Raw genomic sequence first — 17602 nt, 5'->3', positions numbered from 1 at the left:
CTACAGAAAATAAACAAAATTAGCCAGGCATAGTGGTGTATGCTTGTACTCCCAGCTACTAGGGAGGCTGACGTGGGAGGATCACTTGAGCCCAGGTGGTCAAGGCTGCAGTAGGCTCACACCACTGAACTACAGCCTAGGTGACAGAATGAGACCCTGTCTCAAAAAACAAAGAACAAATAACTGCTACACATATGAAAATGAACAAATTTCAGAAGCCTAAGGGGGTGGCTTCTCAGTTGCAGATACTGTTCTACTGCTTGACCTAGGCAGCGGTCACACTCACATAGGTGATATTCTTTATGATGATTAATATGATTTTTTTTCTTTTGCTTTTGCTTTTGAGCTGGAGTTTTGCTCTTGTTGCCTAGGATGGATTGCAATGGCGTGATCTCGGCTCACCGCAACCTCCACCTCCCAGGTTCAAGCAATTCTCCTGCCTCAGCCTCCCGAGTAGTTGGGATTACAGGCAAGCCCCACTACGCCCGGCTAATTTTGTATTTTTAGTAGAGACGGGGTTTCTCCATGTTGAGGCTGGTCTCGAACTCCTGACCTCAGGTGATTCCCCCTGCCTCAGCCTCCCAAAGTGCTGGGATTACAGGCGTGAGCCACTGCACCTGGCAATTAATACGATTTTTGCATACTTCTGAATACATGTATACTTCAGTGAAGGTATTCCAAGAAACCCCACCCCAACCACAAAAATCCTTATGATTTTAGTAGTCTACGATAACTCATCAAGTGTGTGAAGGGGCTAAAAATTTTTTCAGTTATGCTTTTATTTCAGTTTACATTGTATTAGGAATAGATCTATTACAAGAGTGCCTGTGTCTTGAAAATGTCAAGCATCTACTGTATTACCACTTCCTTATTACCAAAGCATACAGAAAATTTTCAAATTCTAAGGGATTGGCCAGGTGTGGTGGCTCACGCCTGTAATCCCAGCACTTTCGGAGGCTGAGGCGGGCAGATCACCTGAGGTCAGGAGTTCAAGAACAGCCTGGTCAACATGGCAAAACACCGTCTCTACTAAAAATACAAAAATAATTAGTTGGGCTTTGTGGTGGGCACCTGGAAGCCCAGCTACTAAGGAGGCTGAGGCAGGAGAATTGCTTGAACCCAGGAGGCAGAGGTTGCAGTAAGCCGACATTGCGCCATTACACTCCAGCCTGGGCGACAAGAGCAAAGTTTCGTCTCAAAAAAAAAAAAAAAAAAAAAAAAAAAAAAAAAAAAAAAAAAAAAAAAAAAAAAATCCTAAGGGATCAACAGGGATCAACATGAAGACCAGTTAGCTTTAAAACAAATTTAACATGAAATTGTAGTATTACTTTCTCCTCCACAACAATCCCCCTTCTACTCATATAAGGTTTTCCATGTACTTTAGTTTTACAATTTCTTCAATCTTTTGTATGCAGATGGAAAATACAGATATCCAACAATTCCAATCTATGGTTGTGAAAATTCAGACTTAGTATTGAGGAATGGAATCTGTGCTCCAGTCATGGGATGACAAGAAACCAGTTCCCGTTCTCAACATCCCCTTGGTTTGGTTTTCTTTCTTTTTTTTTTTTTTGAGATGTAGTCTTGCTCTGTTGCCCAGGCTGGAGTGCAGTGGTGCGATCTCAGCTCACTGCAACCTCCATCTCCTTGGTTCAAGCAATTCTCCTGCCTCAGCCTCCTGAATACCTGGGATTCCAGGCATGTGCCACCATGCCCAGCTAATTTTTTTGTAATTTTAGTAGAGATGGGGTTTCACCATGTTGGCCAGACTGGTCTTGAACTCCTGACCTCAAGTGATCTGCCTGCCTTGGCCTCCCAAAGGGCTGGAATTACAGGCGTGAGCCACCCGGTCTGGCCCCCTCTGTTGGGTTTTCTACTAGGACTTTGGTAGGCTAATAATGATAAGGATGAGGAATGCCTAGGGGCAATAAGTATTTAGAATCCGCAGAACCATGTTTTTTGCAGAAGGTACTCTCTATTCCTTAATTAAGAGATTAGGCCTGGCATGGTGACTCATGCCTGTAATCCCAGCATTTGGAGAGGCCAAGGTAGGTGGACCACCTGAGTTCAGGAGTTTGAGACCAGCCTCGCCAACATGGTGAAACCATCTCTACTGAAAATACAAAAATTAGCCGGGCGTCGTGGCAGGCTACTTGGGAGGCTGAGACAGGAGAATCACTTGAACCTCAGAAGTGGAGGTTACAGTGAGCCAAGATGGTACCACTGTACTCCAGCCTGGGTGACAGAGCAATACTCTGTCTAAAAAAAGAAAAAAAAAAAGAAATTAAACCCCATTCACATTCATTTCATACCAAGACTGAGCCAGCAAAAAGGCTGATAGTTAAGTCCAATATCCTAGGAATGAGAAATGAAAAGCCAAGGCAACAAGTAGGCACTGTAAAACTGTTTGTTTTTTTTAATGACAGGTCAAATATCCTGAAACATACATGTATTTTGATAGTCTTCTAATCCCACTTGAGTTCAAATATTAAAGAAACACACACAAGCTAAGAGAATTCAATATTGTTCCAAGGCACTTACTGAATCTCTGACTAGATGAAAACAGGAACAATTAGGATGAACAATTAGACTGTATATAATATAAAAATAACTTTTTGCTTACAATTTACAAAATTATTATTACAATCTTTGATCTCTGATAACCTGCAAAGCTGGCTGCATGAATCCAGCAAGTTTAAAATTCAGAAACTATTTTCTAAAACTCCAGGGCAAATAATTTACAAATAAAGTACACAAAGATTTAGACCATGCAGAAATTTCTTACATCTTCTGTTAATAATATTTCAATTGCAACTTTATCAAATTATATACCTACTTGCCCTGTACATATACAAAATAATGCATACATGATAAAACAGAAAAAGAGTAGTCCTTAAACTCAATATATCATAAAGGTATTACTATATTAACATGTCTACAAGCAGCGTGTAACAGGGTTAAGAGACATTAAGGCAATAATACTTGAAGTTTCAAAATAAACCATATGTAATACTTTTTCCTAAGTGTAGTATAAGGCAGGTAGATGGTCCCAGCAAAAAATATTAAGGTAACAATCTACACTGCTGTTAGTCCCACATATTAAAGATGGAATACTATAAATCTGGCTTTCAGTGGCACCTGAATTTTCCAGTATAACTTAAAGTGTCTTCTAGCTCCCTGAATCATGTCCATTCTGAAGGTGGATCTCTTGGTCCTTTGGGTTTTCCACATCGATTACCAAAACCTACAGTGAAAACACCACAATAACTAGTCAGTGTTCAGAAATACTTTCAAACTACTAAAAACCATGTCCACAGACATTCTCATTTTCTGGAACAAATAAATTTCCACAAGGGAATTTAGAATTTAAGCCAAACAAAACTTGGTAAATGCAAAACAATTGTAAATTTATTTGGAATAACTGAAAATGATTGCTTCTTTTAAAAATCTTATGCTGGAAATAAAACCAATTTTATCACAATGTAAGAAAAATATCCATGATAATTTAGTCTTTCCAACACAAAAGATTTTTTATACTGCAGTTTTCTATTTTAGTTTTTAATCTCAATGTGAAATAGAATTAAGTATTTCATTTATTTCATGACTAGTCCAAGCAACTTTGGAAAATCATGTTTTATTCTTGGCAAGTGTCATTTCACAATGGCAAATGAGCTTTTCTCATTCCTGCCAGTGTTAACTACTTACTAAAAATTATTTATTAAACAAATTACCAATATCTGTGGCTTCTGTTGGATTTTCTGATATTTGTTCTCTCTTGTCACTGAAAGTAGGTGGACATTCTATGCACATTTCATAGTGAATACCTCCCGCTGGATGATCTAAGTAGCAACACAAAGCCTTTGTTAATCACCATCCTTTGTAGCATCATATATATATAACTCTTTAATTTTTTAAATGTTGGCAAGCATGAAAAGAGAAAACTTTCTCTCCTGGGCACCATAATTTTACAGGTCAAGAACAATATAAATACAAGTGTAGTGTGCACAGAAAATCATGTCAGGTATTATTGTGGTCACACAGAAATCTGCAGTGAGTACTTCTGCAATGTGAGGATTCTCGTTATTCTTACTTCATAAATCTAGGTCTTGACATATTACATTCCCTTAAGGTAGCTATACTATATGCCTATGTTCTAAGGGAATAGTTGCAACTGAAATGTCTTTGTATAGAAATCAACAAGGTCAGGCCAGGCGCGGTGGCTCATGCCTGTAATCCCAGCACTTTGGGAGGCCGAGGCGAGCCGATCATGAGGTCAGGATATCGAGATCATCCTGGCTAACATGGTGAAACCCCGTCTCTACTAAAAATACAAAAAAATTAGCCAGGCGTGGTGGCGGGCGCCTGTAGTCCCAGCTACTCAGGAGGCTGAGGCAGGAGAATGTTGTGAACCCAGGAGGTGGAGCTTGCAGTGAGCCGAGATCGCGCCACTGCACTCCAGCCTGGGCGACAGAGCAAGACCTCTGTCTCAAAAAAAAAAAAAAAAAAAAAAAAAAAAATTTTAAGAAATCAACAAGGTCAGGGTTAATTAATGCACTATTTGCACCTTGAAATAATAACTCTACTTGTTTTTTTTTTTTTTTTTTTGAGACGGAGTTTCCCTCTTGTTGCCCGGGTTGGAGTGCAATGGCGCAATCTCGGCGCACTGCAACCTCTGCCTCCGGGGTTCAAGGGATTCTCCTGCCTCAGTCTCCCTAGTAGCTGGGATTACAGGCAGATGGCATGACGCCTAGCTATTTTTTTTATTTTTAGTAGAGACGGGGTTTCACCATGTTGCTCAAGGCTGGTTTCGAACTCCTGACCTCAGGTGATTGCCTGCCTGGGTCTCCCAAAGTGCTGGGATTATAGGTGTGAGCCACCACGCCAGGCCTAATAACTCCACTTTTAAAGTTTTATGTTGTTTAGATTGTAGTTTACTCTTTAATTACCAGTGTTTAAGATTAGTAACAAAAGATGTTAACTACTAAAATTCATTCATTCTTTCACAATTTTATTGGTCTTCACAAATAAATGAAAAAGTACTAAAAGGAAGATTTCTAAAACAATAGGTTTCTACAGAAGCAATTCCATCATTTATTTAAGTCGGGATCTAACTTCTAGGTGTTTTTAAAAACAGAAAATAAAAAACAGAAAAATATTTTTAAAAAATCTCTTTCCCATTAGCCTGTAATTATTGATAGTAAATGCTCCCATGATTTTCCAGATCAATACTACTATCTGGTGGTAATAATTAATTTGGAAGAATTATAGTACAATATTAAGCTTCTACAAGAGTTGTCCTAGACATTTTCACATACAGAAATAACTATATAGCATGAACTATGAAGCATGTTATTTTGTAGAAATTAATCAATAAAATCTACAGTAAAAAGGAAAAAAAAAATCTAACAACTTACCACATTTCTCATTTTCAGAGGTTATCAAGCCCTACGAGGAAGACATTTAATACCTATTACAATACATTCATTTTATATACAAATAATAGAAAGCTGGGTCTGTTATGGGTATATATCCCAAGAAATCAAGGCCTATCATTTTCAGCATCAGAGGAAAAGCAAACAATTGTTTTTTAATTAGGCTTAAAATTTTAAAATGTTATGCTATTTCTCCTTGGAGTAAATGTTTCTGGATGAGCACTGAAAAGCATGGGCTACTGCATGAAGGAACATACAGCTGTGTTTTGCCAGCCACTATTACTAATTATATCATTATTGTATTTTATATGTCAATTAAACTACATCATGTCTTAAAATCAAATATAAGATGTAGCTAAATTTCAGAGATATTAAAGTATGGGAGAAAATACAAAAAGTATTAATGTTAATAAAAAATGTTATCTCCTATGGACAAATGTGTTGTTGCTGAGACAGGGTCTCACTCTGTCACTCAGGCTGGAGTGCAGTGGTGTGATCATGGCTCACTGCAGCCTTGACCTCTGGGGCCCAAGCAATCCTCCCATCTCAGCCTCCCAAAAAGCTGGGACCATAGACATGCGCCACCACGCCTGGCTAATTTTAAAAATTTTTGTAGAGATAAGGTCTCCCCATGTTGCCCAGGATGGTCTTGAACTCCTGGGCTCAAGTGATCCTTCTGCTTGGCCTCCCAAAGTGCTGTGATTACAGACATGAGCCACCATGCCACGCCCTCAAAATATTTAATTGCCAAAACATTTCTCGAATGTCAAAGAAATGCCAGGTAGCCAGAAAAAAACAAAAGAAGCGACTATGTGCCTAGTGTTATAATGGGAAGCATCTAGAAATGTAAGAAAGAATTAGGACCCTGAAAATAGTAACTCCTATTTCATTCATACCTTCAAAATTATTTGAAGCATAATTTACATATTTCAAAAACAGCTTGAGAAAACAATACTTTAAAGTGATAGTTGTATGTAGATCAGGTTACCCTTTTAAAAAATTTCAGAACCTACCTTTTATATGGGCTTTTCATCTGAAATCTTAGTATAAGAAATGCCGATCAAAAATTACAAACTATATTTAACGATCTTAAGATGACAGCTATTTCAACAACTGCAAGATTAGTTAACAAAAGAGTAGAAATGTTAAGCTATAACTGTTCCAATTCCAAAAGGACTTACTTCAGACTTTTTTTGTTCAGATCGTTCCTGACTTTGAAGTTCACTCCATTCCGATCTTACAGGTGTATCTGAGAAAAATGAAATCTTATTGTTATTAACACCTTGAATTTCTGAAATTTCTTTGCATTAAAGTAATACAAAAAACAGATCCTAAAGATTTTAGAAACTATCGCTTCCACAAAAATTTTGTAGTTTCTGGGTAAGCATATTTCTGAAGTTTCTAAAAAAAAAAAATTGTAGTTTCTATTAATTCGAGAACATTCTGTTTCCTTCCTTCAAAACCTAAGTAAATAAATTCAGTCATCAGTGTATTACAGTCTATAGATAATGTGACAGACAAGTGAAGTATACTGCTTAATCTACAGACAACGTGACAGACTTAGACAACTGAAGTATACCGTTTCATTGCTTTCAACATTCTTTTTAATTGTTGTTGAGACAGGGTCTCACTCTGTTGACCAGGCGCGATCTCGGCTCACTGGAGCCTCAACCTCCCAGGCTCAGGCAATCTTCCCATCTCAGCTTCTTGAGTAGCTGGGACTATAGGTGCATGCCACCTCGCCTGGCTAATTTTTGATTTTATACAGACAGGGTTTTGCCATGTTGCCCAGGCTGGTCTCAAACTCCTAGGGCAAATGGAACAGAGATCCACCTGCCTTGGTCTCCCAAAGTGCTGGGATCACAGGCATAAGCCATTGTGCTTGGCTCTTTAACATTTATCTTAAAATCAGTCAAAATTCACTTTGGGAGGCTGAGGCAGGCAGATCACTTGAGGTCAGGAGTTCAAGACCAGCCTGGCCAACATGGTGAGACCCTATCTCTAATAAAAAAATTAGTTGGGAGTGACGGTGTATGCCTCTAATCGCAGCTACTCAGGAGGCTGAGGCAGGAGAACAGCTTGAGCCCAGATCGTGCCACTGCACTCCAGCCTGAGTGACAGAGTGGAACTCCAACTCGAAATAAAACAAAACAAGGCCGGGCGTGGTGGCTCCCGCCTGTAATCCCAGCACTTTGGGAGGCTGAGGCGGGCGATCACGAGGTCAGGAGATGGAGACCATCCTGGCTAACATGGTGAAACCCTGTCTCTACTAAAAAAATACAAAAAAATTAGCCGGGCGTGGTGGCTCATGCCTGTAATCCCAGCACTTTGAGAGGCTGAGGTGGGCGGATCATGAGGTCAGGAGATGGACCATCCTGGCTAACACGGTGAAACCCTGTCTCTACTAAAAAAAATACAAAAAAATAAGCCGGGTGTGGTGGCAGGCACCTGTAGTCCCAGCTACATGGGAGGCTGAGGCAGGAGAATGGCATGAACCCAAGAGGTGGAGCTTGCAGTGAGCCGAGATCGTGCCACTGCACTCCAGCCGGGGCGACAGAATGAGACTCCATCTCAAAAAAATGAATAAATAAAAAATAAATAAATAAAAAGAAAACCAAATGAAACAAAACAAAAATCAGTCAAAATTAATATATTGGTAAAATGTACTTAGACAAGTGAGCACCTCCACTGAGCATGAGACACTGTAAATACAATCAAGCTGTTTCTGCACTCTTTTTTAGAGGATTAATAGGGAGAAGTATATTATCAATGTTTTAAAGTATCATCACTTTCTCCCAGTTCTGATACTCCAGTGGTCTTTTTTTTTTCTTCCACAGACGGGGTCTCACTGTTACCAAACTGGAGTACAGTGGTGCGATCATGGCTCACTGCAGCCTCCAACTACAGGGATCAAGCAATCCTTCTTCTTCAGCCTCCTGAGTAGCAAGGACTACAGGCACATGCCACCACACCTGGCTAATTTTTTGTTGTTATTATTATTTTTTGAGACAAAGTTTTTTGCTCTTGTTGCCCAGGCTGGAATGCAATGGCGTGGTCTCAGCTCGCTGCAACCTCTGCATCCTGGGTTCAAGCAATTCTCCTGCCTCAGCCTCCCAAGCAGCTGGGATTACAGGCGCCCACCACCACAACTGGACAGTTATTTTATTTTTAGAAGAGAGGAGGTATCACTGTGTTGCCCAGGCTGGTCTCAAACTCTTAGGCTCAAGCAATCCTCGCGCCTTGGACTCCCAAAGTGCTGCGATTACAGGTATGAGCCAATGTGCTCAGTCTACTCCAGTGGTGTTAAATGTCTTTCAGTTAACACCAATCCAGTGACGCCCACCCAACAGAAATGTTTACTGACCTAAATCTAAGGAAAGCAATTAATGTTTTCATAAATAAGTGCTACTTTTTTTTTTTTTGAGATGGAGTCTTGCTCTGTTGCCCAGGCTGGAGTGCAGTGGCATGGTCTCGGCTCACTCCAACCTCTGCCTCCGGGGTTCAAGCGATTCTCCTGCCTCAGCCTCCCGAGCAGCTGGGACTACTGGTGCATGCCACCACACACAGCTAATTTTTTGTATTTCTAGTAGAGACAGGGTTTCAGTGTGTTAGCCAGGATGGTCTTGATGTCCTGACCTCGTGATCTGCCCGCCTTGGTCTCCCAAAGTGGCAGGATTACAGGCATGAGTCAATAAGTGCTATTTTTAATGAATGAAAATACACCAGATTGCAAATACACTTATAATTGCATTTTTTTTTTAAGATGGAGTTTCGCTCTTGTTGCCCAGGTTGGAGTGCAATAGTGTGATCTCGGCTCACTGCAATATCCACCTCCCAGGTTCAAGCAATTCTCCTGCCTCAGTCTCCCAAGTAGGTGGGATTACAGGCATGCGCCACCACGCCTGGCTAATTTTGTATTTTTAGTAGAGACGGGGTTTCTCCATGTTGGTCACGCTGGTCTTGAACTCCTGACCTCAGGTGATCAGTGCATCTCAGCCTCCCAAGGTGCTGGGATTACAGGTATGAGCCACTGCACCTGGCTTTGTAATTGCATTTATTTATTTATTTACTTTTTGAGACGAAATCTTGCTCTTCGCCCAGGCTGGAATGCAATGGCGCAATCTCGGCTCACTGCAACCTCCAACTCCCGGGTTCAAGTCATTTTCCTGCCTCAGCCTCTCAAGTAGCTGAGATTATAGGTGTCCACCACCATGCCCAGCTAATTTTTATATTTTTAGTAGAGATGGAGTTTCACCATGTTGGCCAGGCTGGTCTCCAACTCCTGACCTCAGGTGATCCACCTGCCTAGGCCTCCCAAAGTGCTAGGATCACAGGCTTGAACCACCATGCCCAGCCTATAATTACATTTAAATGAATTGAATTCTGATATCTAACATAAATGCAGTAATTTCTATCGATCTTAGCAAGTAAAAAATATAATTTAAAAGCATTTTTCAAACAAAGAATTAAAAGCATGTCAACATCAATTTACTTGTTTTTGAATTTAATTATGTAGCACAATAGCTAATAGATTAAAATCAGGTATGTTTTTCGGAGTTTATTATTAGAATATGAAGTAAATGTAAAAGCAAAAGAGACACTCACTATGTTCACTTGCTAACACAAACGATTCAGGAGTTCTTTCAGGTAGGGGAGGAGGTGAATCTTCACTAACATCAACATCTAAATTAAACACATAAAAATTTAGACAAATTAACATGTCATCTAAACAAAATCAGAGAGCTTTCTTGACATTCTAAAAATTCCTGTCACAAATATCTAGATCAGTTTTTAAAAATGCAAAAAAATGCAAGAAACCTTTTCCACTCATTATCAAGAATTATGATGCTTATTGAGCAAAGATAATGTATACAGAAATGACTCTCTCCCATGACTTTCCTGTCACTCTACAGACATCATTCAGTTCTCCAAGCCTGAAGGGAATCTTCAGTAGAGAAGTCAGCTGGCAAGTGACTTCTCTACTGAGCTTACTGATGATGTTTTGTGTCCAAAAAGGAAAGCTTTGGTCATTTGCGTTATGAAACGCCTAAGCCAGTGTTTCCCAAACAGGATTCAATTGCTTAACACCTTTCATGATTTTTGCCATACTATGTAACATGTGTCCTATTCACTTTTAAAATCTGACTCATTTTAAACTTAACTGTGTACCTCAGTCATGTCTTAAACAGCAATAACTGAAATAACATTGGAAATACTAGTTATTTTTCCAAAACAGATAAAGATATAGCTATTAAAGTTTTTTAAAAAATCTTCATTTATTTATTGCTAAAGATTTTGTGTACAGTGGCACATGGCTGTACTTTGAGAATGCTGACTGAAGCTATATACAGGTTTTTCACTAGTAAAAACAAAATTAGCTCTTGGGAAAGAGAGTGCATTAAGTAAGCCTCATTGGTTAGCTTTATTATGGCTTAAGGTAAATGAGTGTATTTGATCTTTGAGTTTTCACTGGAGGAATAGAAAGAAAATATAAGAATACAATCCTGTGTGTGAACTCTCAGGTTGGGGAGGGTGGGATAAAGAAAAAGAAATGCGACGGTCCTGTATTATTTTGTCTTGAGCCTTGCCCATTGTTCTTAAATGAACACACAGTTCTGCCATGATACTCTGCTATTTTACCACACCTGATGGCTATGCATAGGTCTTGTCAATTTTCAACACGCATGAGGTGAGTATGATTGCTTTTGCCCCACCTACATTTATTTAGCTGGAGACGCAAGAAAATACAGCTTCTGGGTCCTCCTGAAAGAGGAGTTCCAGTCCAATACTTGATACATCTACCAAGAGTACCAGAACTCTCTCTTGCCACTAAAGAACTATCTACCTTATCCAGTAGTGGTAGTCTGAGTCATCACCATATGTCTCCTTGCCCTCTTGCTACTAACAGCGCACAGTGAAGAGATGGCTGTTGGAAGGAAGGGACACATAATCTTGGCATTCTGGTACCATTTCTTAAATTAAATGAACAAAACAAAAAGGGCAGTTCAGCCCTTTTTCTATCAGTTATCTTCCAGAAACTCTGTGCTTTTTCTCTCATGGCAGTTCTCACCCTTAAAAACTTTTATTTTCTAAGCGTGGCCCTTGCTTTGCAAATGCATGTTTCTCCCTGGAACTTTGGGCTGCCTTTCCTGTTAAAAACTTTTGTTTTAGAGGTTATCCAACCAGATATTGCGTATTTTATATAGGCTTTTGCAAATCATACACTGTATGGGGCCTTCTGTAGTTGAATCTGAGAAATCTTTCAGGAGGCCTAAGTCAAGACTGAAATTAGAATTGATAGCTAAGAATTTTTGTCAGGCAGTAACTTATGCAAAAGTTTTTTTTAGGTATCAATACAAAAGTATTCCATTATAGTCATGCACTACATAATGATGTTTTCATCAACAAGACCGCATAAACAACAGCGGTCCTGTAAGATTATGATACCATATTTTTACTGTACCTTTTCTATGTTTAGATACACAAATACTTACCATTGTGTTACAATTGTTGAGTATGGTAATATGCTATACAAGTTTGTAGCCTAGGAGCAAGAGGTTACATTGTATGGCCCAGATGTGTAGTATATACTATACCATCTAGGTTTGTGTAAATACATTCTATGACATTCACACAATGGCAAAACTGCCTAATGACATATTTTTCTTAGAACATATCCCTGCCATTAAGAAATGTGTGACTGTAATTCACTAACAAGTTCTAGGACCAAAAAACCCCCCAAAACTCTAATTCTGGTGCCAATGGCTCTATAAGATAATGATCTACAAAGGAAATAATAATCTATAAGGTAAATAAACAATCTATAAAGTAAATAATCCATATGGTAAATATTTGGCAACACATTAAAAATGAGACTACTTGTAGTTATGCTGCAACAAAGAACATTTACACACAGGAAAATCTTCGGTTAAAATCAAACCAATAACATAGTTAAGGTTGAGTAAAAAGAAACCAGAAATCACATGTATAGTGATTTTTGCTTTGAAATACAAAACCAAACAAACAGAAATGAGCTGGCACATAGTAGGGTGCTTTTAGCTATATCTTACTCTTTTTTTTTTTTTTTTTTTGAGACAGGGTCTCCCTCTGTTGCCCAGGCAGAGTGCCGGGACGCAATTATGGCTCACTGCAGCCTTGAGCTCCTAGGCTCAAGTGATCTTCCTACCTCAGCCTCCAGAGTAGCTGGGACCACAAGTGTGCACCACCATGCCCGGCTAGTTTTTTATCTTTTGTAGAGATTGGGTGTCACTATGTCACCCAGACTGGTTATGAACTCCTGGGCTCAAGTGAACTTCCTGCCTCAGCCTCCCAAAATGCTGGGATTACAGGCATGAGCCACCAACAGACTCGTCATGTAGTAGTAACTTTTAATAAGCATATCACATCATACATCTTTCTGGCCCTCACCAAATCCTATTTCCAGTAATGGTTTTTTGGTTTTTTTTAAAAAAAAAAGCAAAAGAACAAAACAACAACAAAAAAACAATAAAACTTCCTAGGTACAATACCACATGCTTGATATACTAAAAACTCAAAATGAAAATTTCTTATCTACATATTTTCTTATATAGTTACAGCTGGGCAGTTATATTTCAAATTCTGAAGCTGAGGAACAAAAGACATTAGCAATTTAAAATTATGGTAAACTGGTAAAGTAATATTATACTATTCATTATCTTCTAAAGATCCTTCAAATAAAACAAAGATAAATCAAGAAAAGATAATTCTGTAATTTAAGCAAATAGTTTAAGACTGTCACCTGGCTGGGCGTGGTGGCTCACGCCTGTAATCCCAGCCCTTTGGGAGGCCGAGGTGGGCGGATCACGAGGTCAGGAGATCCAGACCATCCTGGCTAACACAGTGAAACCCTGTCTCTACTAAAAATACAAAAAATTAGCCAGGCATGGTGGCGCATGCCTGTATTCCCAACTACTAGGGAGGATGAGGCAGGAGAATTCCTTGAACCCAGGAGGCGGAGGTTGCAGTGAGCCAAGATTGCGCCACTGCACTTCAGCCTGGGCAACAAGAGCAAAACTCTGTCTCAAAAAGACTGTCATCTAGTCTACCAAATACACTCTCTCAAGTTAAAAAATACAGTATGTGTGAGAGAAAATACAAGCACTACAGTATGGGTGGTATATAATGGGTCAGAAATAGAAAATAATCTTTCAAGGCCAGGTGTGGTAGCTCACGTCTGTAATCCCAGCACTTTGGGAGGCCTAGGTGGGCAGATCACTTGAGGCCAGGAATTTGAGACCAGCCTGGCAAACATATCGAAACCCTGTCTCTACTAAAAACATAAAAATTAGCTGGGTGTGGTAGTGGGTGCCTGTAATCCCAGCTACTTGGGAGGCTGAGCCGAGATCTTGCCACTGCACTCTAGCCTGGGTGACAGTGCAAGACTCAAAAAAAAAATCTTTTGAGTGCAAGTCTCAAAAAAAAAAAAAAATCTTTCAAGGTCACAGTACTTATTTTGCCTGCACGTTATAAATACCAGTCTGTATGTGTCACTACCAAAGTTCACTGATAGGTAAGTGACCACTGATAATCAATATATCAATAAACAGCTTTCAAATTTATATGTTTACTCTCAACCTTAGGGTCTGTTTAAGATGGTAGCCATCATTACTTTCAGCAGATCAAAGAGGAGTTTCAAGAAGCAATAATACACTTTGGGAACTGAGTGCATGCATTATCTTGAAATGCTAAGAGTGCTAAAAAAATAATAATTCTTTAAATAATAGCTTTGATGAGTAGGTATGCATATAGCCCACTCACTACTGAATTGAGCAGTTTGCAGTATTGTTCCTGGGTTAAACTCAGGGTTGGAAGCAGCCATATTTGGAAGCATTTGTGAAGACAGTAAAAACAAACAAACAAAAAAATGTAATCTGTAGTTAAAGGAACAGTAAAAAATGACTAAACATTTAGGAAAAACGAGTAACATTATATGGCCAATCAAGACATTCTACAGTATTTTTGCCACTGTTATTTTAAGTGATTCTTCCCTAAATTATTTCTAATTATTCAGTCAGATAAATTTTTGACCGATACAAAAACACTAAGATCTATAATACAGAAGAAAAAGAAAATAAGTTATCCAGTTATAACTACTAAAATAATTTAGAAACACAAAACCCAGTAATATAATGTGACCAAATTGTTAACAATACATTAAAAGCTTATATTAAAAAATTAGTATCTAAGACAGATTTTGCTGTAGGTTCTATGGTAGAGTGTGGAATAAAACATAATAAATCAATACAGCTAAAGTGCTTAAAACAGTGACTAGCACATAGGAAAGACATTTAAGTATTTGACACTATATTATTACCTTTTTCAGCACCTGAATGTGTTGTTCCTGCTATATTATGTCTAGCAATGGACATTGGCAATACTTTCCTAGTAGAAATGCTTTCAGTACTAGTGGCAGCAGAAACTGTGGCACTTGCTGTTGAAATATTAGTTTTATTCTGGGTCACAGCACCATCAGAGTTTCTTTCATCTGAGTCTGAGTCATCAGAGTGAAGTGGATTAGTAAAACTGAGGGGTGTTCTGAAGAGTGGTGAAGTGTTATCATGATCCACAAGATCAGGTGTTTCAACTTGTGTTGTAGGACTTGGTGTTAAACTCACAGTTTTCCTAGTTTGATAGTTGATATCTGAGGAATTGCCTTCAGATAAATCAGGTATGGGTATGGCATTTTCAGGTCCATGAAATGACCACGTTACATGTCCTTTCTCATCAAGAGGCAAGCGGTCTGGCCTTGGAGGTGTGTCTGAATTCTGGGATTCTTCTGGTGGAGTAACTGAAACTTTGTTTGATTGTGTTACACTGCAGTCCACACAAGAATTCTGGGAAGTATCACCGACATTTAGATCTGAACTTAATTCCTGTGGCTTAGAGATTTTATCAGCTATACAAGGTGAAGCAGATTTAATTTTAATTGCATGTCCCCTATTCAAAAGTGTGTTCCCATCAAAACTTTTTGGTCCCTCTTGGAGAGGGACCTTCTTAATCTCAAAACTTAAATTTCGTTCCAATTTTTTATCTATCTGTTCAATTGTTGATTCATTTTTCCCTGGAAGTTCTGTTGATTTACTATAGTTTCTGTTGAGGTCTGCTGAATGTTGTTCTGATGAAACCATATGCAACACTGGCTTTGGATGGTATCTATCATTGTCCTGCCACACAGTAGTGACTGTTGGAAAAGCTGAAGGGGGAGAAGGTGTCAAGATGGGTGGCACTGGATGAGGTTCCGGTGGCTGCAGTATTTCTTCTTTAGCATCCCCTTCAACAAGGCAACTGAAAAACAAACATTTAAAAAGGGCATTTTAAGACTGTTAAACAAGTTGATACCTGAGAATTATGTAGCTAAGAGTAGCATATTAAGAGCCATTACAATCTGGTTGCGAATAAAAACTGCAGTTTTTCAGACTAAGAAAATTTAATGTTCATCAAGGTAATACACATATACTGTTTAAAAAGTCAAATACAAGACTTTGAATGAAAAACATAGTCTCTGCCCCGCAGCCCTCCTGTTAGCCAGAGGCATCAACTTTCAACATTTTTTTATAGCTGCTTCTAAAATTTACACCTCTGTATTTCAGACTATTTCAAAAGTTATTTCTTGATCTTTGTTTCACACATTTTCTACTGACTTCCTACTGTGGAAGTGTCCTTCTCTATCTTTCCAATACTGTTATATTGTAATTTTTCATTACCTCAGTCGTATGACTGCAGATAGTATTCCCATCTATGACACCATGATTTCGTATCTTTTCTTCTATAGTGTCTTGTTTTCCCCTAATGACTGCCTTGGATTTCTGATGGCTTAGCTCTCTATGCATCATCAGTTACTCAGCTTTTCTTCTAACTTTCTTGCAGATTGGTATACCTCCTCTCAATAATGACAAGCACACATAGTAAGTATCAATACCACAGACATCCTTGTTAGTAACTTTTGGCCTCCTGCTCCAGTGTGGACTACTGGTTCCCTAGTCCATCACAGAGCTAATGTTCTCTCTGGTTTCAGATTCTCCTGTTTCCCAGGTCTCATTTTCCTCTTTCTGGGTATACTCCTTTGTTCGGGTGGGTTATACCCTCTAGTTGCCTTTATTTTTTTCCTTAAAGAAATAGGGGCCAGGCATGGTGGCTCACGCCTGTAATCCCAGCACTTTGGGAGGCCAAGGTGGGTGGATCAATTGAGCTCAGGAGTTTGAGACCAGCCTGAGCAACACAGTAAAACCCCATCTCTACTAATAATACAAAAATTTGCCAGGTGTGGTGGCACACACCTGCAGTCCCAGATACTTGGGAGGCTGAGGCAGGAGAATTGCTTGAGCCCAGGAGGTGGAGATGGCAGTGAGTTGAGATCACGCCACTGCACTCCAGTCTGGGCGACAGAGCAAGACTGTCTCCAAAAAAAAAAAAAAAAAAAAAAAGAGAGAGAGAGCGAGAGAGAGAGCGCGAGTGAGAGTGAGAGTGAGAGAGAGAGAGAGAGAGAGAGAGAGAGAGAGAGAGAGAGAGAGAGAGAGCGAGCAGCCTGGGCAATATGGCAAAACCCTGTGTCTTTAACAAATACAAAAAAATTAACTGGATGTGGCAATGCATGCTTGTAGTCCCAGCTACTAGGAAGGCTGAGGTAGGAGGATCACCTGAGCCTGGGGAGGTCAAGGCTGCAGGGAGCTCTGATCATGCCACTGCACTCCAGCCTGGGTGAAAGAATGAGATCCTGTCTCAAAAAAAAAAAAAAACCAAAGAAGAAGATAGGGTTTACTATGTTGCCCAGGCTTTGTTGCTTTTTAAGAACTTTATATGAAGCAAACTTCTTGAGGGCTTGTATATTTAAGTTTTTGTGTTCTGTTTTTCTTTTGAGATAGAGTCTTGTTCTGTCACCCAGGCTGGAGTGCAGTGGCACCATCTTGGCTCATTGGAACCTCTACCTCCTGGGTTCCAGCAATTCTTGTGCTTCAACCTCCTGAGTAGCTGGGACTACAGGCACATGCCACCACACCTGGCTAATTTTTGTATTTTTAGTAGAGATGGGGTTTTGCCATGTTGGCCAGGCTGGTCTCCAACTCCTGGCCTCAAGTGATTTGCCTGCCTCGGCCCCCGCAAAGTGCTGGGATTACAGGGGTGAGCCACTG

At 39.5% G+C, this 17602-nt stretch overlaps 1 protein-coding gene across 11 annotated transcripts in view; it reads right to left on the bottom strand.

Moving 5' to 3' along the window:
* Positions 2394-17602, bottom strand: part of PTPN12 (protein tyrosine phosphatase non-receptor type 12) — a 102775-nt gene continuing 87566 nt past the window's right edge. For 10 of the 11 annotated variants that reach the window (NM_002835.4, XM_006716073.5, NM_001131008.2 and 7 more), the window contains 6 exons: positions 14788-15758; positions 10038-10115; positions 6614-6681; positions 5415-5445; positions 3732-3839; positions 2394-3244 (listed from right to left, as the gene is read on the bottom strand). In NM_002835.4, the coding sequence (NP_002826.3) occupies positions 3183-3244; positions 3732-3839; positions 5415-5445; positions 6614-6681; positions 10038-10115; positions 14788-15758 (1318 nt within the window). In that variant the 3' untranslated portion in view covers positions 2394-3182. Of the gene's footprint in view, positions 3245-3731; positions 3840-5414; positions 5446-6613; positions 6698-10037; positions 10116-14787; positions 15759-17602 lie in introns of those variants that run through there. The other variant, XR_007060120.1, reaches the window with a different exon arrangement.

Source organism: Homo sapiens, chromosome 7, assembly GCF_000001405.40.
Source record: "Homo sapiens chromosome 7, GRCh38.p14 Primary Assembly".
In the NCBI taxonomy this organism is placed as follows: domain Eukaryota; kingdom Metazoa; phylum Chordata; class Mammalia; order Primates; family Hominidae; genus Homo; species Homo sapiens.
Note: the sequence above shows the minus strand (reverse complement) of the source record. Positions and strands in the feature narration are given on the sequence as shown.